The sequence below is a fragment of the Homo sapiens genome, chromosome 9 (assembly GCF_000001405.40).
Source record: "Homo sapiens chromosome 9, GRCh38.p14 Primary Assembly".
NCBI lineage: Eukaryota > Metazoa > Chordata > Mammalia > Primates > Hominidae > Homo > Homo sapiens.
Window position 1 is genome coordinate 74,138,391 of NC_000009.12, and position 24,669 is coordinate 74,163,059.

The 24,669-nt window shown below is 35.9% G+C and overlaps 1 long non-coding RNA gene across 2 annotated transcripts in view, besides 1 other annotated feature; it reads right to left on the minus strand.

Annotated features, from left to right (window-relative positions):
- Positions 1-24,669, minus strand: part of LOC101927329 (uncharacterized) — a 154,205-nt gene that overhangs the window by 17,209 nt on the left and 112,327 nt on the right. The window contains exon 5 of one of the 2 annotated variants that reach the window (XR_929946.3): positions 5,024-5,108. The exons of the other annotated variant lie outside the window; for it this stretch is intronic. This is a non-coding gene — a long non-coding RNA (uncharacterized LOC101927329). Of the gene's footprint in view, positions 1-5,023; positions 5,109-24,669 lie in introns of those variants that run through there. 2 annotated transcript variants of the gene reach the window in all.
- Positions 7,595-7,764: an enhancer, noted in NCBI's record as "experimental_108123 CRE fragment used in MPRA reporter constructs". NCBI's record gives its function as "activates a minimal promoter by MPRAs in K562 erythroleukemia cells, with activity observed for both the introgressed and non-introgressed 9:76760986 variant alleles {active_cell/tissue: K562}" and the evidence as "EXISTENCE:reporter gene assay evidence [ECO:0000049][PMID:34662402]".

The following is a 24,669-nucleotide window of genomic DNA, read 5'->3' on the forward strand; positions in this document are numbered from 1 at the left end:
AACACAGGTGAGTTTGCTATGCCTATATACCTGTGACCCATTGACTATTCATACCCTTCTGCCACTCTGTCACCTCCAAATCTTAGTGTAAGCCTCTCATCTGGCTAAATGTGATTCATACCATCAAGTGTGTTGTGCACGTGCACACATACACATGTAAGTTAGAAACAGAAATCTATTTATTACAGTGACGAAAAAACTGACTTTGTTGGACTTAATAAGGAATTGTGTATGGTGCACTTAATTCACCATATCTAAGCTCCTGGGAGTTTTTCTCACCTGGAAATTGAAGATGATACTCATCCTATCTCCCTCACAGTCTTAATGTAAGGACCAAATGAGGTACTGCATATAAATATTTTTGCAAATTTTGCAGCATTATAAAACATGAGATATTGCTATGCAGCAATGTCAAAAATAGGTCTAAAAGTGATGCCACACAATTGCACCAATCATTAATTATGTTTTCTTGCTAAGGTATTCTTATGCTATAAAAGTCTTAAATATAAATTATATTAACCAATCAATGTAAGAATAAACCAGTTTTCTAAAGTAAAGAGGATTTGTTAATTGTACTTAAAGAAACCAGCCTCCAATATGAACCCCGGTGATCCTTGCCTCCTGACACATATTCATATTCTTCTATAGTCTCCTCCTGTTGAGTGTGGGTTAGATGTCCTGATTCACTTCGAATAGAATAAGGCAGAAGTGACCCAGAGACTAGGTCATAAACGCAGTGTGATGTAACTCTCTTTGCTATTCAATCATGTGTTCTGAGAGACACCAGCTGTCATCTCATCTACAGCCCTATGGAGAGGTCCATGTGGCAAGGAGCTGGGACCTTTTGCCAACAGCCATTTGAGTAATTTTGGAATTACATTTTCCAGCCCCAGGAAAAGTTGTAGCTGACTGCAGCCCCAGCCAACACCTTGAGTACAAACTCATGAGAGATCCTACAGCAGAACCACTCAGCTAAGCTATCTCTACATAAAATTGGCAAGGCAAAGTTAAACTAAACTCTTAACCCTGGGTTTTCTGTACTCATGTAATTTTATGTAATATACCTATCTCTGTGCATCTTCATCAAGGCCATGCAACTAGGATTTCTCGACTGTATTTTTCTCTTTTAGCCTTTGATACCTATTGATATATTATTTCAAGTAACTTGTGTCTAAAGAAAAGTGTCATTGAAAGTATTTTTTTTATCTCATGCATGGATGTGTTTTCGTGATGTTACAACCTAGAGTTGTTCCAATCAAGCTCTTAAATGAAGATAAGTTCTTGCATTATATAGTATGAGAAAAAAACGCAGATTTTCGCAAAAGTTGTTGTTACGGGATAAAGATTTTCCCTTGCCAAAAATGTTTTTTTTCAGTTGTAGCAAATCAAGCATACATATATTCATTAAATTAATGCAGATATTGTATCATAAACTCAAATGGAGGGAAATCAGCCTGCTAACTGAAAATTATCTTTACTTTGGTCACTCAAACAACCAGCATATTTGTGGCAACAATAAATCACCAATTCATACAAAGTGAAGGATGATCTAGAATATTGATTCACAAACATTAGTATGAATCAGAATCCTGTGGAGTTTCTTTAAAAATCATTTTCTCAGGGCCAAACCCCAGAAATTCAGATTAAATGGGTCTGGAGCATAGCCCAAGAATCTTGATTTTTGTGAATTCTTGAAATTAGAGACTCCACTTTGATAAATGCTGGCTGTATCTTCTTTGAGGTTCCTTTCAAGATGAATAATTTTAAGTAGTAAAGCAGCAGATTTCAAGGTCCGCTCTACTTTCAAACACTGCACTGTCTTAGGCCAAGTGTATGTCTCCTTGCCACAGGCTGCAGTTTGAACATATAGCTGATTTTGAATTCTGAACAGGATCTTTCTAGCAATAGAGAACGTGAAAATAACTCTAAGCCATTAGCACCTCATTGTCAAATCACCTGATCTGTCATCACACCACTTTTCTCTTGGAAAGGTCATTGCTCAGCTGTGAACCTGATTATTTTTGAAATGGTTGAAATAAAGAAAGTATGGGTTACTGCTTCTTCTTCTTTGGCAGCATGGATTTTCTTTCAAGTACTTATGCTTTATAGGCAAGGTGATGTTTAGCTTTACTGAGCAAAAGTCTTGGAATATGAGAGGCCTTGGAAACTTTTATGAGAAGTAATAGAGGAGGAAACAAAAGTTAGTGGCATTATTACAGCTGTCAATAGCATTTTCTTTACAGAAGTTTTGTATAGGTTATTGCATATATTTTTGCTATTTAAATGGCAATCATATACATATCCAAACATGTTCGTTGGAATTGAAAAAACAAACTTTTATCATGTGCTGTCTTTGCAACAATGTTACAGAGATGTTAAAGTCCCATGAAACATATGTAACTTCTCGGACCACTGTTATCCAGTAACCCAAAATGAGAAGATGAGAGAAAAAAGGAGAGAGGGCAAGAGACAGACAAACAGAGACAGATTGTGCCTAAAGTTCCCAAAGGATGATCAGAGAAATAAGAGACAATGGCATTTACTAAGATTTGATGACATGATTGTATATCTAGAAAACCCCATCGTCTCAGCCCAAAATCTCCTTAAGCTGATAAGCAATTTCGGCAAAGTCTGAGGATACAAAATCAATGTGCAAAACTCACAAGCATTCTTATACACCAATAATAGACAAACAGAGAGCCAAATGATGAATGAACTCCCATTCACAATTGCTTTAAAGAGAATAAAATACCTAGGAATCCAACTTACAAGGGATATGAAGGACCTCTTCAAGTAGAACTACAAACCACTGCTCAATGAAATAAAAGAGGATACAAACAAATGGAAGAACATTCCATGCTCATGGGTAGGAAGAATCAATATCATGAAAATGGCCATACTGCCCAAGGTAATTTATAGATTCAATGCCATCCCCATCAAGCTACCAATGACTTTCTTCACAGAACCGGAAAAAACTACTTTAAAGTTCATATGGAACCAAAAAAGAGCCTGCATTTCCAAGTCAATCCTAAGCCAAAAGAACAAAGCTGGAGGCTTTGTTCCTGACTTCAAACTATACTACAGGCTTTGTTCCTGACTTCAAACTACCGACTTCAAACTATACTACAAGGCTATGGTAACCAAAACAGCATGGTACTGGTACCAAAACAGAGATTTAGACCAATGGAACAGAACAAAGCCCTCAGAAATAATGCCACACATCTACAACTATCTGATCTTTGACAAACCTGACAAAAACGAGAAATGAGGAAAGGATTCCCTGTTTAATAAATGGTGCTGGGAAAACTGGCTAGCCATATGTAGAAAGCTGAAACTGGATCCCTTCCTTACACCTTATACAAAAATTAATTCAAGATGGATTAAAGACTTTAATGTTAGACCTAAAACCATAAAAACCCTAGAAGAAAACCTAGGCAATACCATTCAGGACATAGGCATGGGCAAGGACTTCATGTCTAAAACACCAAAAGCAGTGGCAACAAAAGCCAAAATTGACAAATGGGATCTAATTAAACTAAAGAGCTTCTGCACAGCAAAAGAAACTACCGTCAGAGTGAACAGGGAACCTACAGAATGGGAGAACATTTTTGCAATCTACTCATCTGACAAAGGGCTAATATCCAGAATCTACAAAGAACTCAAACAAATTTACAAGAAAAAAACAAACAACCCCATCAAAAAGTGGGCAAAGGATATGAACAGACACTTCTCAAAAGAAGACATTTATGCACCCAAAAGACACATGAAAAAATGCTTATCATCACCGGCCATCAGATAAATGCAAATCAAAACCACAATGAGATAACATCTCACACCAGTTAGAATGGCAATCATTAAAAAGTCAGGAAACAACAGGTGCTGGAGAGGATGTGGAGAAATAGGAACACTTTTACACTGTTGATGGGACTGTAAACTAGTTCAACCATTGTGGAAGTCAGTGTGGCAATTCCTCAGGGATCTACAACTAGAAATACCATTTGACCCAGCCATCCCATTACTGGGTATATACCCAAAGGATTATAAATCATGCTGCTATAAAGACACATGCACACGTATGTTTACAGCGGCACTATTCACAACAGCAAAGACTTGGAACCAACCCAAATGTCCAACAATGATAGACTGGATTAAGAAAATGTGGCATATATACACCATGGAATACTATGCAGCTGTAAAAAATGATGAGTTCATGTCCTTTGTAGGGACATGGATGAAGCTGGGAACCATCATTATCAGCAAACTATCGCAAGGACAAAAACCCAAACACTGCATGTTCTCACTCATAGGTGGGAATTGAACAATGAGAACACATGGACACAGGAAGGGGAACATCACACACCGGGGCCTGTTGTGGAGTGGGGGGAGCGGGGAGGGATAGCATTAGGAGATATACCTAATGTAAATGATGAGTTAATGGGTGCAGCACACCAACATGGCACATGTACACATATGTAACAAACCTGCACGTTATGCACATGGCCCTAAAACTTAAAGTATAATAAAAAAAAAATTAAAAAAAAAAGATTTGGTAGTACAATGATAGTTTTGTTGTACATTCATAAAGTCCAAGTTAAAATATTTTAAGGGTGACTAAAACTTGGTTTTACGTCAAAAGACCTGATTTTTACTTTTTGCCACTTACTAGGGGAATAGCCTTAGGAAAGTCTCTTAACCCTGTGAACTTTAGATTTCTCAGCTAAAAAAAAAAAAGGGCAGGAGGTGGTATGTGGGACAAATGAAGCATTCTACCCTAGGCTATTATGCAAATTAAAGAGATAATGTTGCCTGGTGCAGTGGCTTACACCTACAATCCCAGCACTTTGGGAGGCCGAGACAGGTGGATCACAAGGTCAGGAGATAGAGATCATCTTGGCCAACACGGTGAAACCGTCTCTACTAAAAATGCAAAAACTACCTGGGCATGGTGGCAGGCGCCTGTAGTCCCAGCTACTCAGGAGGCTGAGGCAGGAGAATTGCTTGAACCTTGGAGGCAGAGGTTGCAGTGAGCCGAGATCACGCCACTGCACTCCAGCCTGGCCGACAGAGTGAGACTCCGTTTCTTCTCAATCACCGTCATTACATTTGCTCTTTAGGTGGTATAAATAAAAAGACAAGCATTTCTTAAATGCTGAAGTCAAGAAAGTGTCTACAAAGGACATGTATTTTTAAATTCAGGCAGCCCTTATTTTTCTATTTTAAATCTTTAAAGCCAAGATAATTATAATAATAATAATGTCTATGGTCTAAAGTGTATGTATTTTTTATTCAATTCAAAAACATAGTGGAGACCAGATGCTGAGTCTACACTAGGAGTCCTTCAAAACTGAAACAAATTTAAGTGAAAGAAATCTTATACTTAGAGGGGAACTAATCCTTGTTAGATCTAAAAGATCCTATACATTAGAAGAAAACATTGAAGCCAAGGGCTTAAGAGTGGACAGAATGTGGCAAGAATCCTCTTCTCCCATCTCCCTTCCCCATTCCCATTTCCAGTTGCTTAGCCATAGTTTTCTTTGTGCTGTAGCCAACACAGAGTTTTTGTATCAATTTTCCTAATACAAAACCTAAATTTATAGACAAGATGTAATGGAAGAGTTGTATCAAAATCTTCTGGGGAGTTGTTTCCAAATTATTAAGTGACTTGCACATTCTTCCCCTCCCACCTGTCCCCAACACAGATTCTGATATTCTAACATGCACAGAAAGACATATATCCCCAGAGAAACCTAACCTGTTATTGTCAGGGAGGAGAGTAGTCAAGTTAGGCTATGGGACAGAACATAAATACCTTGTGTTCTGACTTATAAGTGGGAGCTAAGCATTGGGTACTCATGGACATGAAGATGGTACCAATAGACACTGGGAACTACTAGAGAAGGGAGGGAAAGTAGAAGACAAGAGTTGAAAACCTCTTGGCTGCTATGCTTGGTACCTGGGTGATGGGATCATTCATACCAAAAATCTCAGCTTCATGCAATATACCCAAGTTATTTCCATAGACATCTTCTCCCATCTTTACTTTCACTTAGATGGGTATCATAGCTTAGAAAATGCTCAACTTAGATTTCTCTGTAGTCAATAGTCTTTTTAGAATGACTGTTTTTAAAAACATAGTGTTTTTCATACAAAATATGGCAGTGTCAAGACTGTATGATTTTCCTTAAAAATGCACACCTGTATTATTTTAGATCTATAAACTCTTATCCAAATAGTGTGTGAACTGTGTTTTTTTAATTAGATAGATAATATATAGTCATGCATTGCTTAGCCATGGGATACATTCTGAGAAATGCGTGATTGGGTGATTTTGTCTGTATATGAACATCATAGAGCATATTTCCACAAACCTAGAAGGTCTAGCCTACTACACACCGAAGCAGTACGGTATAGCCTATTGTTCTAGGTTACAAACCTGTACAGCATGTTACTGTACTCAATACTGTAGGACATTGTAACCCAATGTAAATTTTTGCATATCTAAACATAAAAAAGTATAGTAAAAATACAGCATAAAATATAAAAAATGGTACACCTGTATAGGGTAGCTTCATTATAATCTTATGAGACCACTCATGTATATGCTGTTTGCAATTGACTGTAACACCATTATACATCACAAGAACTGTATTTACTGTAGTGGCAAATATAGTACAACTATACAAATGAGCCTGTGCTGAACATAAACATTTTCTAGTTTATATGACAAATGCTTCACTGACATTGGCATCAAGACATTGACATGGCAGAGAGAAGACAGAGTAGGTGTACAAAAATAAGGACAGTAAGAGAGAAAAAGAGACATTCAGAAGAGAAATAGCATCTTAAAACAAATATGTCTAAGTGCAATTTAAAAGCAGGGTTGTTTGTGATTAACCTCAATGCAAGGATAAAGCGATGCCTCTATTAAGTACATATTACAATCAGAATATTTGCTATCATCTAGAAAAGGCCAGGTACTGATTGATCTTCTCTGGAGAGCAGAGACTAGTAGCAGGCCAGATAGGCTCCCTGGCCAAGCAGAAGAAAAAATTTACACTTTTTTTTTAAACAAGTAGTTCCCATGAATGACTCAGTTTTGTGAAGGAGGAGTGGAAATAAATTAGAATCCTCTAAATATTGAGATTCAATTGCCATAATATGCTTAGGGGCATTGTCATGGAATTGAGTGCCTGGAGGCAGATGAAGGATTTGACCCTCTGCCCTTATCCAGCAGCCCTCCAACTCCAATCTAATGAACACATAGTCATAATTATTTCTCAAATCGTTTTTATCTAATTTTAAAGTGGATAATTTATACCACTTGTATAAAAACGCATTAAGTTTCATTAAAATATTCAGCATTAGTAGAACTTTGAGCAGAATATATTTCTTACAGTTTCAAAAAGTCATACATATTTATAATATTAAACTCTTCAGTTGCTTTAATAATAGAATCTCTATCCCATAGATCTGAATACTAATTTTAATATGCTCCTGTAGTAGAAAGCTATGTGCACAAGAAAATGCATTTGCACTATATACTTTCTAGTTTTGTGCTTATTTCTTTCTTATTAGACTTTCTTTTACTTAAACTTTACTTTTCAGCAGAAGTCTTTTTCCCTTGTTTTTTCTTTTATTTTTGTAAGTTAAAAATACAAGAGCTTGTTAGACCACATTCCGTTAAGGAAATCAGGAGAGGCGCACATCTTAGCCTTCCAGCGTGGTTTGCATTATTTTGATGGGCTCCCTTTTAATTCCAGGCTTTGCCTAATGGGTCATTCATTTTTGAGAATATAAGCATTTAGAGTGAATAATCACGTATGCCCATGCATTGCTAGTCTTTTCTGGCAACTCTGAAAAGAGAAGTGGCCGAACACCAAACTGGCAGAGATTATTTCTGGTGCAAGCTGCCTTCCACAATTCAGTCATGTCAGAGAGCTTTATGAAGTAATAAATTAAGTACTCATAATGCAAGGACTCTAATCAAATGAAGCTGTGATACATCTATCATCTATCTGTCTATCTTTAGAACCCATATCTAAAGTGACTGACGCATAGCACTCTCAAAAGCAGGCAAGTATACATGCATCATAGCTCCCGTTAGCTTGGGAAATTAGACAGCCAACTTTATTGTGAGGAAATATGCTCCATGACACCGGAACTATAGCTCTCTCCTTCCTCAAAGTGCCGTGCAGTCTTTAACTTCTGGCTCACATTGTTACAGTTTCAATGAGAATATAGTGTGAGATTAAAAATATTCCTCTAAAATAATAAGTAAGCTAACACAGAAATCCTGTTATTCTGATCTCCAAGAAATCCAGAAACACAGAAACCTTAAACTATGAACCCTCAGTGGCCTTGTAAAGTAGGGGTATGGAGGATAAATGTGAATATTTGTCACCACATCTTAAAATAGATTTTTCTCCCAGGCTTGGTTAATGTTGAGACTATAGAGGGGTCAAGCACTCCTAGCTTTCAAAATGAGATGCTAAAACATCTAGATGAACCTTGCAACGTAGTAGAGACAACCCAGATTTGCGACACTTCTGCCTTTGCGCAATCTTTACCAATGACTTTAGGGTATAAAAGGATTAAAGTTGGCCACCACAGGATAGTTGAAAATTAGAGAGAGGATTTCCTTAAGGGAAATTCTAAATATGAGAGGATTTTCTCTACTCTCATGGAAAGTAAGATAGGATACTTCAGTTTCACCCCAAAGTTTCGAGAAGACTAAATAGTAGCTGTGATATGTGTGTCTTATGGTTTGTGGCGTGCTGTGGACTGGTATATGTCTCTGCCTAATAAATCAAAAGGGCAAAGGGCTGTAGCTAGAATTGTTCAAGCAGCTAAATGAAAACAGGGTTGATGATGGGTCAAAGTGACCTAGTTATTAGCCTCTTTAGAACTCAACCAAAAAGGATGTCTGGATGTATATAGTAAAGCCCTAGATAAAAGAAGGAATAATAATTAATCAACTGGAGTAGAAGTGTTTGCCTACTTTAAGTGATTTGCTGGTGTTAATTTTCTAAACTCAAGGATGTGATCATAAATTTTATGTGCCAACTTGGCTGAGCTAAGGGATGCCCACATTGCTGGTAAAATATTTTCAGGTATATTTGTCTACTTGCATCCGTAGACTGAGAGAGGAGATCTACCCTCGCCAATGTGGCAGGGATCATCCATTCCAATGGGCCTGTTGAGGGTTTGAATGGAACAAAAGGCAGAGAAAGAGAAAATTATCTCTCTTCTTGACTTGCGACATGCATTTTCTCCTGCCTTCAGGCATCAGAGCTCCTGGTTCTTGGGCTTTAGGACCCTGGGACTTACACTAGTACCTCCACTGCCCCTTCGGATGCCTTTAGTCTCAGACTGAATTACACCACCAGACATCAGATCATGGGAATTCTCATCCTTCATAATTGCATGAGCCAATTCCAGTGTAAAAAATTGGAATTACAACATTTAATTTAAATTTTAAAAATCTTATTTATCTATATCTACATATAACCTTTTGGTTCTGTTTCTCTGGAGAACTCTGACTAATACAGAGTAAATCTGAAACACCTAAGAAAGTGCCCTATAAAAGAAAGCACAAACTTTAAGCATCTGCCATGACCAAAGGAAACCACAACTAGATGGGTACCTGGCCAGGAATGTAATCCCTTTTCTGTTTCCTCAACTCTTTCTTCTTCAACAAAGGAAATGGCATGAGCCAACAAATTGCATACACTCTAGAGTGGGAATTTGGGTGGGAAAATGAGTCATTTTCATCTTTTCCAGTACTCATTTCCTGCTTTAATTTGGGAAGTTTCAAGGTTTTGATTATGACACAGAACTTGACAAGTGAACCCATATTATGACTAAAAGTAATCGGACTTTTAGAAATCTATGAGAGACAAGGAAATCTGTGAGACCTGCTCTAGGTTTCATCTAGAGGCTGGAGAGGAACCAGCCCTTAAGAGCGTGTTCAGATGGTTGGTGTGAGAATGGAATGAACTTGCTGATTATCCTACATATGTCCTGCTTAGTCAGTGTGCCAGTTTCATAGCATTTCCTCTTCTGAGCTGCCAGGGACATTATGAGGACAAAATGAGATAATGAATGTGAAAGTCAGGTTCACTGTAAAGTGTCAGGTGTCTATAACGCACTTTTCAATGCAGTTGAAGAATGAGAGTTGCTTATTACAGTTAGGATCCGATTTACCACGGGCTGTTTTAGTAACAGATACATTTGCAGGAATCCTTTGATGTACAGAGTTCAAAGGAGACAGTAGCAACAATACACAATGAATACTCCCTAAATTCTAAACCAGGGTTTTTCACCCCAGGCCTATGGAAGGGCTATGGTTTGAATGGTGTTTTCAGCTGGGTTCAGAGAAAGACAAGTCTGCCTCTCCAGCGGTTTAACAAGTGAAAGGTGGGAGTGGTCTGTTCTGATGAGGAAACATTCTATCAATCCCATTGTCTAGAATTGCTGGTGCAGGGTAAGTAAAAAGCAAACTGATTTTTTGAATCAGGTTTATTTTTGGTTTTAAATTTTTAATACACAATGCAGTCTCTTATTGCCTGCACTTGGGATGGACTGCTCCCATTGCCTCTCTCTCCTCTATCTTGATAAGTCACCAGGTCAGAACATTGATTTCCTCCACTATTCTAATTCAAGAGATGAAATATTGCTAAACACATTAGCCTGGGTGTGGAGATGAAATGTGTTGAACCTTTGTAAATTCATTTGCTAGATCTTTCTAGCACCTATGCTAGCTAGGCAAGTCTCCTTGCTCCTCCGCTGCTGCCTGCATCTCTCCACATTATGGTACATCTTCATTGGTGAGTATGGTCTTCTCATAATAGGGATAACTGTCCTCAGCCAAAAGCATACAAGTAGCTCCAAGCAAGGGCTCAGGTGGCCTTTGTGAGAGTCAGAAATCTTCCCCTGGCAAATTCAAGTTCAATGGCATTCCAGACATGGGGCCTGTAGTAAAGAAAAGAGTCCAAAGAATAAAAAGACTCCTCTTTTATAAGTTTTTCACATCCAGAGGCAATACTGTTGCACTGTCTGTCAGCACACAAGAGAACCATATTCATTTATGTCCAGGAGATGTCGTGGACTTCAATTGTCTTGAGAAGGGGGAGTCTGGGTGATGGAAAGAACACAGGTTGCAGTGGGCATTACCATCTAAGTGTGAATTCAGATATTGCCATTTACTAGCACAAGGAAATTGTGTTGGTTAATTCATTTATCTGACTAGTTTCTTCGCCTCTGTAATGGTGAGAATAATTCTTGCCTTGGAGCTGCCTAAGGACTCAATGATACAATGGAAGATAGATATCAAAATGACTAAGGTAGTTCCTGCCACTAAGATAGGTGACTGGAGTGCATTTGCCTAATGAGTTGTACTCAAGATCATGCTTGCCATAGAGTAGACACTCAAAAATGCTTTGCCTCCCTGCTTTATTGGAGAGTATATAGTATATCAGACAGAATATAAAAGCATAACATTTTCAGGCAATGTTTTACAAAGAAAGCCAGTTTTTAATGGCCAAGTGAAAATTTCATGCACTTTAAAATCATCACTTTGGTATTTGTATCAGCTTGAGTAAGTTAATCTCTCTTAGTCTTTTTTTTCAACATCTGTAAACAAGAGATGAGAATGCAGGTTTTTTTTGGGGTTTTTTTTTGTTTTTTTTTTTTTTTACAAAATCAAATGATCTATACAAAGCATCTAACAGTGCTTTGCAAACAAAAAGTTTTCAATACAAGCTTTATTTTCCTTATTTAAGTGCTTCTGCTCCATGGGGGTGGAGGTAGAAACAGGATGATCACTGAAGCACAATACTATTTTTAAAATACTTTGGTAATAAAATTATCAATTGGCTGTGGAAACACCTTAATTCTTCTTGGTGTACTATTAATCAAAAATTAAAACCTAGGTTGTCAGTGGGGTAGATCAAAAGCGGTTAAGTCTACAGGGAAAATGATATTCCAGAGAGATAGAGTCCTGTGTTGAACCACACAATAACCGAAGCTGACTATTTTTCATTGGTTTTCCATGAAAATAAAAGACAACACACTGACTACATCAAAATTGTGAAGTGCAGCTGTAGTGAAATCATTACTCAATATATATGCTGATGCTTACTTAAAATGGCACTCCTCCTTAATGCTAAGTCATTGTCAAACTACACATGGTTAGAAATAGAGGGGGACTGTCATCTGCAGATGGTCTGCCATGTTTGGGCATTTTTCAAGTGGCAAGCAAAATGGTCCATTCCATACTTTTTAAGAATGAAGAATTGTTTTTCTCATGGAAATATGCCTTATAGAGATGAAGGGATGATAAGAGATGTTATCTTTGCCTGGAATTGATCAATGAGGAGGCTAAAGTCAAACAGAAAACCCATAGATCTTCTTCAAATGTGCTTGACAACTGAGTTAGAGTCTTTGTGATTGCTTCTAGGCCAACCACACTTCAGTTCAATTTGGCTAACTTTAATGGGCACTTACAAAATACTCTTCCTTAGAAAAGTAGCAATAGGCTTTCAAAAACCATCTGTAAATAAATCTTTATGACTGTATGTAATACATGAATCCAGTTCTATTAAGAAAAGTCCTTAGAGTTACATTTCCATATGTGCTCAAGCATCGACCATTATTTTGTTTGTTTCTCACAACTATTCTTTAACTGAGACATAGTCTTTTTAAAAAGAAAAAATGTTAAAAACGTACAAAAACTAAGGTTCACCTTCTTCCTCTCTGTTTCTTCACATTTACTTACACATGATCTTCCTAGAATAGATTGAGAAGTATGAACTTTCTAATATTTATGGTACATACATACTTCTTTACACTTTAGTAGCTGCAGAGTTTGGAATGAGAGAAATTAAATATTTGATGCTTTATTCACATTTAAACTAGAATATTTTAAATTTCTTCATTTTCTGTAATTTGTTTGCCAGAAAAAAAGTTGTTAAAGAAATACATATACCTACAGGGGGGAAATATGTGTATATTTCCTCAATCTACCTACTACAAGTAGATTCTGATATCTAGAGGCGATCTTTTTTGGCTAAGAACAATTTTAACATATTGCTTCATTGTGAAGATAACATTGATTGATATGTGAATATAAAATTAGAGAAGTCAAGGTCATTAAATTTTCTTGAATAAGAAATGGTGAAACCTAAAAGGATTCAGGATGGGATATTTAACACTAGAGAAGTTGGAGGAGGAGGGACTGGAAAAGAATAGGTGTTTGGTGGCATTTGAGTAAGAGAAATAATCATTCAAATGATGGATAAAAATTTTCTAGTTTGGGGAAGGTAAAATATTATGAGTGGTGCAATAAAACTCCCTTTCTTCTTTTCCCCTATGAAATCTTTAGTAAAATAACTATTTTTTCTTTAGTTCCTAATAGAGTATTTTTTTAATAGAAGTGCTGAGCCCCACTCTCACATTAGAGCAGAACTAGTATGACAGGGTTACATTTATTCAACTATTACATAGATAATCATTTGAAAGCAATATTTTATTCTGACTAATATCAGGAACTATGCTTAGAAGGGAAGAAAGGAAGGAAAGAAAGCTAATAAGAATGTCAGCGATTTTAGTTGGAATTCCAGTATTTCAGTTGGAATTTCAATAAAATAATTGGATAGTTATTGGATAATTGGATATAGTCAATTACATATCTAATTTATATGTATTAAGCATTAATTGTTAATGGTGAAACGGTAAATAGTTCAAGTAGAGACTGATTTTTGAATCTGAAGACACAATCTCTTGAGAAGTGCATAGTTAATAAATTTCAAAATATCTTTCAAAATCAATCTCCTTATTATAGGTAGTCTCAATGTTTTTTTTTTTAATTTTAAGATCAAGGGTATATATACAGGCTTGTTATATATGTAAACTTATGTCATGGAGTTCATTGTACAGATTATTTCATCACCCAGGTATTAAGCCTAATACTCATTAGTTATTTTTCCTGATCCTCTCTCTCCTCTCTCCTCCCATGTGTTCATGCATCCTCATCGTTTAGATCCCACTTATACGTGAGTACATGCTGTATTTGGTGTTCTGTTTCTCCATTAGTTTGCTAATGGATATGACCTCCAGCTTCATCCATGTTCCTGCAAAGGATATGATCTCATTCTTTTATGGCTACATAGTATTCCATGGTGTATAGCTACCATATTTTCTTTATCTAGTCTGCAGTTGAGGGACACCTAGGTTGATTCTACATCTTTGCTATTGCAAATAGAGCTGTGAAAAACATACAGGGGCATGTGTCTTTTTGGTAGAACAATTTATTTTCCTTTCAGTATATACCCAGTAATGGGATTGCTGGGTCAAATGGTAATTCTCTTTTTAGTTCTTTGAGAAATCTCCAAACTGCTTTCCACAGGAGGTGAACTAATTTACATTCCCTTCCAGCACTGTAAAAATGGTCTCCTTTCTTCACAACTTCATCAACATCTGTTATTTTTTGACTTTTTGATAACAGCCATTCTACTGATGTGAAATGGTATCTCACTGTGGTTTTGGTTTGCATCTCTCTGATGATTAGCGGTCTTGAGCATTTTTTTATGTGTTTGGCCACTTGTACATCTTCTTTTGAGAAGTGTCAGTTTATGTCCTCTGCCTATTTTTAAGAGGGATTATTTATGTATTTTTTCTTGTTGATTTAAGTTCCTTATAGATTTTGAATATTAATTCTTTGTCAGATGCATAGTTTGCAAATATTTTCTCCCATTCTATAGATTGTCTGTTTACTCTGTCTTTTGCTGTGCAGAAACTCTTTAGTTTAATTAAGTAACATTTGTCCATTTTTTTTATTTTGTTGCATTTGCTTTCGGAGTCCGCAACATAAATTTTTTGCTTAGGCTGATGTCTAAGAGTATTTTCTAATTTTCTTCTAGGATTTTTATAGTTTAAGGTGTTACATGTAACTCTTTAATCCAATTGAGTTAATGTTTGTATATGGTGAGAGATAGGGGTCCAGTTTTATTGTTCTGAATATGGTTAGCAAGTTTTCCCAGCACCATTTGTCGAAAAGGGTATCCTTTACCCATTGTTTATTTTTGTTGAAATTGTTGAAGATCAGTTGGTTGTAGAAATGCAGCTTTATCTGAGGGGTCTGTATTTTGTTCCATTCATCTCTGTGTCTATTTTTGTACCAGTAGCATGCATTTTGGTTACTGTAGCTTTGTCGCATAGTTTGAAGTCAGGTAATGTGATGCCTCTGGCTTTACTCTTTTTGCTTAGGATTTCTTTGGCTATTCCAGCTTTTTGTTGTTGTTGTTGTTGTTGTTGTTCCATATGAATTCTAGAATGGTTTTTCTAATTCTGTGATAAATGGCATTGGTAATTTGATAGGAATAGCATTGAATCTGTAGATTACTTTGGGCACTATGGACATTTAAATAATACTGATTCTTTCAATCCATGAGCATGGAATTTTTTTTTTCATTTGGTTGTGTTGTCTATGATTTCTTTCAGAAGTGTTTTGTCATTTTTTTTGTACAGATTTTTTACCTTCTTGGTTAGATATATTATTAAGTATTTTATTTTTGTGTGTCTGGCTATTGTAAATTGGATTGAATTCTTAATTTGTTTATCAGCTTGAGTGTTATTGATGTATAGAAATGCTACTGATTTTCGTATGCTGATTTTGTATTCTGAGACTTTGCTGAAGTTGTTTATTAGTCTAGGAGTCTTTTGGCAGAGTCTTTAGGGCTTTCTAGCTATAGAATCATCAGCAAAGAGAGATAATTTGACTTCCTCTTTTTTTCCTACTTGGATGCCTTTTATTTCTTTCTTTTGCCTGATGCTCTGTCCCAGATTTCCAGTTCTATGTTGAATAAGAGTAGTGAGAGAGAGCATCCTTGTCTTAGTCCAGTACTTAGCAGGAATGCTCCAGCTCTTGCCCATTCAGTACGATGTTGGCTGTGGGTTTGTCATAAATAGCTGTTACTATTTTGAAGTATGTTTCTTTAATGCCTAGATTATTGAGGGTTTTTTTTTTATCATAAAGCAATGTTGGATTTCATCAAGTGCTTTTTCTGCATCTATTGAAATGATCATATGCTTTTTGTTTTTAATTCTGTGTATGGGGTGAATCACATGTATTGATTTGCATATGTTGAACCATCCTTGCATCCTAGGAATAAAGCTAATTTGATCATGATGAATTAACTTTTTTTATGTGCTGCTCAATTCGGTTTGCTAGTATTTTGTTAAGGATTTTTGCATTTACATTTATCAGGGATATTGGACTGAAGTTTTCTTTTTTATTGTGTTTTTGTCAGATTCTGGAATCAGGATGATATTGGTTTAGTAGAATGAGTTAGGGAAGAGTCCTTTCTCCTTGATTTTTTGGAATAGTTCCAGAAAAGTTGGTACCAGGTCTTCTTCGTATATTGGGTGGAATTTGGCTATGAATCTGTCCGGTGCAAGACTTTTTTTGGTTATTAGGTTTTTTATTAGTGATTCAACTTCATTGCACATTATTGGTCTGTTCGGGATTTCTGGTTCTTTTTGGTTCAATCTTGGGAAGTTTAGAATTTATCCAGTTCCTCTAGATTTTTTAGTTTGTGTGCACAGTCATGTTCATAGTAGTCTCTGAGGATCTTTTGTATTTCTGTGGTATCAGTTGTGATGCAACCTTTTGTCATTTCTGATTCAGTTTATTTGGATCCTCTCTTTTTTTCTTTTTAAATCTAGCTGACAGTCTATCAATCTTTTTTATCCTTTCAAAGAAAAATCTTTTCATTTAGTTGATCCACTGTATGCTTTTAGTGTTTTAGTTTTATTTTGTTCTGCTCTGATTTTAGTTATTTTCTTTTTTTTGTTGGCTTTGAGTTTAGTTTGCTCTTGTTTTTCTAGTTCTTTTAGGTGCTAGATTAGTGCCTCACACCTGTAATCATGGCACTTTGAAAGACTGTCATGAGAGGATCACTTGAAGCCAGAAGTCAAAGAAGAATCACATTTTTAATTGGCAAAAATTTTATTTTCCAAGAAAAGACAAAGAAAATTACTAGTAAAAACTGTTGAAGAGAGAAAGCAAGATATACATAATAATTGACAAAAAAAATTGATTTTGTAAACTAAAGTTTTAGTAATATGGCTACAGTGTTCCTTTTATGCCATGCCCCAAACAATTTTTATTCTAAATATAAAGTGTGTCTATGTTTAACACCAATGATCTGTTAGATAATAATAATGTTGAGCTATACAAGACTACTGGAATTTTTCAAGAAAATTTTGTGTCATCCCAGTTGGTTTTGCTTCTGAGGTCAAGGGCAATATCTCATTTCCTATTACTGATAACTGAAGTGGAACATTCCTTACATTTTTAAATAAATCATTTAATAAATAAGTATAATGATTATTATTCTGGGTCCCAGGCTAATTTGTATTCTGGTCCTACTAAAGAATAATTTTGTCTTCCATCATGATAACTAAGAAATGTTTCAGGAATTACTCAGTAACAATTTTTGGAAAATGACTGTAGGACATCATAATCAGCCATTTGGGGTATTTTGAAAGCCTTTAGTTTTGTATTTTTCTGGGGAATTTGTGTGTGTGTGTGTGTGTGTGTGCATGTGTGCAAGTGCATACTTGCTTTACATGGCAACTAACACATAGTAAATGCTAAATAATTAATTTATTTTAAAAAATAGTTCTTTTCAGTTTCTGTCCTCTAAATATCTAAGGCTATCAAAAGCATTGCTTTTCTTAGATTCTCAGCCTGGAATCAGCTTGGAATCAGAAAACTCCTTCAAGGGAAAAGTGATCCTTAAAGACAGACTTATCTCTGTCTCATTTTTGTCTTCTATATATTTCTCTCTGACTAGCTTTCAAATGTGTTCTAAGTAGACGTATAAAATTTATATATTTTTTAGTTTTTCTGAAAAGATTGATCCCAATACCAGAAGCAGTGTTACTGAGATTTAGAACATATCCGCTTGTTGAAAGACCCACAGCTAGAGAAACATGTTTAGAGCAATGATTTTAGTTGGACATCAGAAACCCATTGTCCTCTGCAAGTTTTCCTGATTGGTTAGCCCATTGGGCACAACAGGCTTCTCAGATCCCAGCAGTCCTCACACTAGCCAGACTTCCCTAGCTGGACGCACAGGACCCAGCTGATGCCCATCAATCTGATTTACATGATCTGATTAGTTCTTCAATTACATAAGCCTTTATTCAGTTATGATTTAAATGCATTTAGAATAATGATCCTATTTTAATATTTTACAGAAAACCCCAAAGTACACTTATATACCATAGAATTTTAACATTGTGAAATGGCACAGTTAGTTATCTAATGTAAGCCTTTGCCTAACTAAAAACTTTACTGGAAACCTTCCAACATGTATTTACTACCAGTGACTATTTCAGTAAAGCACTCTACCACTATCCAGAGGAACTGCATACTAGTCCCACTAGCATTGAATTCTTGGATGATGTCCATCTTTACTCTGTTTTGGAAATGCCTCCTGAGATCTATAAGAATGATGTTGTCAAAAAATAATGTAAGATCTATGAAAGAAAGAGTTAAGGTTGATAAGTCTGGGGCTAAAAAGCCAAGTATCCCATATGGAATAGGGCCCAGCAAGTAGGAATGTGGGGAGGGAGAGTGGATACAGCAGAGAAAGTAAAGGAATAAAATTGGCAAGGCTGAAGAATATATTACTAATAAGACACATTTCCTAGCAAATTTTGTAGTCTGAGTAGACTATAAATAATGTGTGATCACAGAAATTCTCAGAGTGAACCTATTGCTTTTTAGTAGAAGTGTGGTGGGTTCGGGGGGAGGCTAAATTTCAAGTCAAATGATTCAGTTCTGCCACCAAGGATTAGTATGACCTTGGAAGAACACCCAGTCTCTCTGAGTTTTAACTTCCTTGGCTATATATTAAGGATTTAAATGATCTCCAAGATATTTCCAAGCACAAATATTTTATGATGTCATTCTCTTGAGTCCTTCTATGATGAGAAAGAGCACTCAAGGTAAAAGTCAGATGACTCCATGAAGATGTTAAAAGCAGAACTACCCTAAGCAAAAAGAAGTCAATCTATGTGATGGGATTTAAGAGGAACACAAGACTGTACCTATGCTTTTGGACCTGCTGTAGTGATTTGCCTCCCTCCTGTATGAAAAAATCCTGCAGCATGGCAGCCTTTCTCTTGGTGTTGACAAGATAGAAGCAGCATTTTTAAGAGACCACTTTGGTTGTAAAGCTTATTTATCAAAGACATTTGTCCTTCTTTTTGATCACTGATATTTATATGCTATCAACTTTTATTTTTTGGTACTCCTTGATTATTCTTTCTAATTATTTAATATACATTCCTATGGGATCTTCCCTGGGTTATTTGTGTTTAACTTGTATTTATGACTTTGCTTTTGAAGGGACATTTGGGTATTTCATGAGGTAGTAATAAATTGTTTTAGAATCTTATTTAACACTTGACAGGGAGGACTTAAGTCTTCATCATAAGTCACTCTTCAATATAATGCATTAATAAATGAGACATAAATATAAGTTGATGGAAAAAATAGATATTTTTTCATAAGTAAATTAACAATCTCTAATAACTTTATTAGCATTAGGTGAGTTGATTAATTTTATCTTATTTAAAAATTTCCCATTTTGAATAGTAAAGTGATATCTATGGTTTAAAAAATGCTATTTGTTTTTCTGTCCTTCTTTTTTTTTTTTTTTTTTTTTGAGACGGAGTCTCGCTCTGTCGCCCAGGCTGGAGTGCAGTGGCGCGATCTCGGCTCACTGCAAGCTCCGCCTCCCGGGTTCACGCCATTCTCCTGCCTCAGCCTCCCGACTAGCTGGGACTACAGGCGCCCGCTACCACGCCCGGCTAATTTTTTGTATTTTTAGTAGAGACGGGGTTTCACCGTGTTAGCCAGGATGGTCTCGATCTCCTGACCTCGTGATCCGCCCGCCTCGGCCTCCCAAAGTGCTAGGATTACAGGCGTGAGCCACCGCGCCCGGCCTCTGTCCTTCTTATATTATGTCATTCCCAGATTATCTTGGTTGGTTGCTCCTTTTCAGACCTCCCCTTCTAATTAGTACAGATTTATGCAGACAACGGAGACAAAGCTGGGCATTGCAATGTTCATTGATAACCTGAGGAGTGAGGACGTGGAGGGAAGAGGCCCAAAAGCAGGAACCACACATCCCAAGATAATGGTGTTTTTAAACATATTTTCTAAAGCAATAGATAACAGCATAAATTGTCAAACCAAATAATGTGTAATTTAATAATGTATAGATATATTAATGTGAATTCTTACAAGGGTATTAAACTTATTTCAGATTTAAAAAATCAGCTAAATTGTTAAAAAAAAGTCAATAATAAAACTAATCTGGAAAGTCTAGAATGCCCTATTCCCATTTCTAAGAGTTAATGAGTGTAGGATTACTAGAGAGATATCAAAATGAGGGTGAGGCTATTCAATGTGTGAAGAGGTTGCCACCACTTATTACCTATAGTTTAGTCTCTCTGTGCCTCAGTTAACACTTTTATGAAATGGAATTAATAATAATATCTAACTTTATAAGGAAATTATAAGATTTGATCAATCCATGTAATGCTTTTAAAATAGTGTCTAGCACATGGATTTATTAAATGCTAGCCAGTATGGTTGCCCTTGTTGTAGTTATACGCATCATTATCATATCAGTAAAGAACTGAAGAACATACTCTCTACTTGAGAAATTTAGTGTATGCTATTTTTATTATGGTCTTAGGAGTAAAAAAGATGACACATTCAAATAGGTTTATTGAGAAGAGTTTGATAGAGGGAAAATTTACAAAGTTAGGTAGAACGTATTTTTAAAAAATCAACAGAAGATGGTAGAGTACCCCACGGCTACCAACATTAGGAAAACTTTGTCAAAAAGGAGCAAGAGGAGGGAGTGGTTACTGGAACCCAGAATATGTATCTATAAAAAAGAACGAGGCAATTGTCTGTCAGGAGCTATGATTTTCAGTAGAGCAATGGAGCTAAGCCTTGACAACCTGACAAGGAGAAATTCAGAGAAGGAAAAACCATGATCCTGCACTTACCCATTCTCCAAATACTTGTAGGTGCTTCTCAACAGCCATATCCAAATGGACCCTAAAGGACAAGTGGGTCCTTTCATGCTGTCTATAAAGATTAGCCTCTTGAGCACAAGGAAAGTGGAGAAGGATAGAAAAACAAATGGGAACTGCCCAGAAGAGCTGACCAGACAAAAGGAAATGAAAGTAAATATCAAGGCCATTTTCAAGGACTTTATTCTTCCTCAGAACATGGATTAAGTCTGGGTAGAAAATAAAACTGTTGACCAGGCATGGTGGTTCATGCCTATAATCACAGCACTTTGGGAGGACAAAAATTAGCTGGGCATGATAGCATGCACCTATAATCCCAGCTACTCAGGAGGCTGAAGTGGGAGGATTGCTTGAGCCCAGGGGCAGGAGGTTCAGCTGCAGTGAACTGCGATTGTGCCACTGCTTTTCAGTGTGGGTGACAGAGCAAGAACCTGTCTCACACACACAAAAAAAAAAAAAAAAAGAAAGAAAGAAAGGGAAGAGAAGGGAGAAAAAAAGAAAAGAAAAATAAGAAAAAAGAAAAGAAAAGAAAACAAAGGAAGACTGATATACCAAGGATGGCTGAGAAAACAGATCCCGAGTTCTTTTCTGCCCCAAAAGTATAAGAAAAAGTCTTTTCTAATAGTATTAAGTAAAATTTTATTAATCGAAAACTTAATCCATTTTAAAGCATATATTCTGGGCAAGGCTTTATATTTACATTCCAAAATTCATCTTTTGAGCATAGTAGTTTATTTCTATTAAAATTTTAATACCTCTGAATGGACAATCTATTTAACCAAGTTTTAATATTTTATATTTCCACATGAAAGAAAAGTTTGAAGTCATGTCAAGGATTAAAAGAGAGGAAAGTGGTATCTGGCCTCAGGAAAGAGCACAAAAAGGTAAGCATAGAAAGTCACCTTGCATACTTCATGGTTTCCATAGGTCAGTTTATTTCTTCTCTCATAAAACAATAAACAAATAAACAAGAACTCTTTAGTAGTTTACATTTACTATAAGTTAGGTAATATATGACATGAAAAAAACAGCGCCATGCCATTGAGTTACTCCCAAGTAGACCAATGGCAGAGCTAGAATAGTCTCTCAAGCAAGAGTTCTGAAGAGCACGGCCCTTACATGTTTGTATTGATACCTTTCTTCTCATTTCTTGAATACAATTTTCTAGAGTATATCTATCATATTTTTTCTAAGACAAACATATGTCTGTGTATCTACAATTTTTTCTGATGCATAAGTTGTTTAGTTATACTTTCATTTGTATTGATAGTCTCTTGTTCCTTTTGGGTTTAGGTTTTTTTTCTTATTCATCTTGCTTTTAATTTACTTAATTTATGTGCATTACTTAATTAATAATATCAACACTTAAGGCTCGGAATCTGTCTCTGAGCCTCTTCATTGGGCAAATCTCAAGAGTATATAAATAGGACATTCATTATTGCAATTTCTAAAGTTGTTGAGCTTTACATTTTTATTTTCAATTAGACAAACATGGATATTTTTATCTTCATAGTAGTTGAATTCTTTTCAAAATGTATTTTTCAACTAGTTGGTAGTTGTATTACATTGTAGTCATAAAATGATATCAATATAATGGCTGTTTTCTAGTGGACATATATCTGGTCCCAGGATTTCTCTAGACTCTTAAAAATTATTGAGAATCATAAAGAGCTTTTATTTGCATGGGTTACTATTTATCAATACTTTCTGGATTAGAAGTTAAAACTCTGATAAATGACTTCAACAAAGTTTCAGGATACAAAATCAATATCGCTAAATCAGTAATATTTCTACATATTAATAATGTTCAAACTGAAAGCAAAATCAAGAACACAACCCAATTGCAATGGCTACGTAGGAATACATCTAACAAAGGAGGTGAAAGAGCTTTATAAGAAAAACTACAAAGCACTGCTGAATGAAATCATAGATGAAACAAGTAAATGGAAAAACATTCCATGCTCATGTATTGGAAGAATCAATATTGTTAAAATGTCCATTCTCCCCAAAGCAATCTACAGATTCAATGCTATTCCTATCAAACTACCAATGTCATTTTTCAAAGAACTAAAAAAAACTAGTCTAAAGTTTGTATCAAACCAAAAAAGAGCCTGAATAACCAAAGCAATTCTAAACCAAAAGAACAAAGCTGGAAACATCACATTACCCAACTTTGAACTATACAGTAAGGCTACAATAACCAAAACAGTATGGTACTGGTACAAAAACAGACATATGGACCAATGGAAAAGAACGGAGAACCCAGAAATAAAGCCACATACCCACAGCCATCTAATTTTTTAACAAAGTGGAAGAAAAAATAAACAATAGGAAAAGGACTCCTTATTCAATAAATAGTGTTGGGATAGCTGGCTAGCCATATGTATAAGAATGAAATAGGACCTCTACCTTTCACCGTATAAAGAAATTAACTCAATATGGATTAAAAATTTAAATATAAAGTCTCAAACTATAAAAATCCTACAAGAAAGCCTAGGAAACACCATTCCAAACATCAGCCTTGAGAAAGAATTTATAACTAAGTCCTCAAAAGCAATTACAACAAAAACAAAAATTAACAAGTGGGACCTAATTAAACTAAAGAACTTCTGCACAGCAAAACAAACTATCGACAAATTAGACAACCTACAGAATGAGAGAAAATATTTTCAAACTACACATCTGACAAAGGTCTAATATCCAGAATCTATAAGGAACTTAAGTAACTGAACAGGCAAAAAACAACCCCACTAATAAATGGGCAAAGTCATGAACAGACACTTCTCAAAAGAAGACATATGAGCAGCCAACAAACATATGAAAAAAACGTTCAACACCACTAATCATCAGAGAGATATCAAAACCACAATGAAATATCATCTCACACTAGTCAGGATGGCTATTATTAAAAAGTCAAAAAAAAAAAAACCCACAAAAGATGTTGGCAAAGCTGTGGAGAAAAATAAACACTTATATACTGTTGTCAGAATGTAAATTAGTTCAGCCCCTGTGGAAATGAGTTTGGAGACTCCTCAAAGAACTTAGAACTACCACTCAACCCACCAATCCCATAACTGAGTATATACACAAAAGAAAACAAACCTTGCTACCAAAAAACACACACACACTCGCACGTTCATTGCAGCACTATTCGCAATAGTAAATACATGAAATCAACCTAGGTGACCATCAATGGTGGATTGGATAAAGAAAATGTGGTACATATACATCATGGAATACTATGAGCAATACTAAGAACAAAGAATGAAATCATCTTCTTTGCAGCAGCATGGATGCAGCTGGAGGCTGTTATCTAAAGCAAATTAACACAGAAAGAAAACCAAATACCACATGTTCTCATTTATGAGTGGAAGCTAAACATTTGGTACTCATGGAGATAAAGATGGCAACAATAGACACAGAAACTACTGGTGGAGTTGGCAAAGGTTGAAAAACTAATTATTGAGTACTATGCTCAGTACCTGGATGACAGGATATCATAGTTCTAGAATGTAGTTCTGGTGTAGGATTGCTAGAGAGATATGAAAA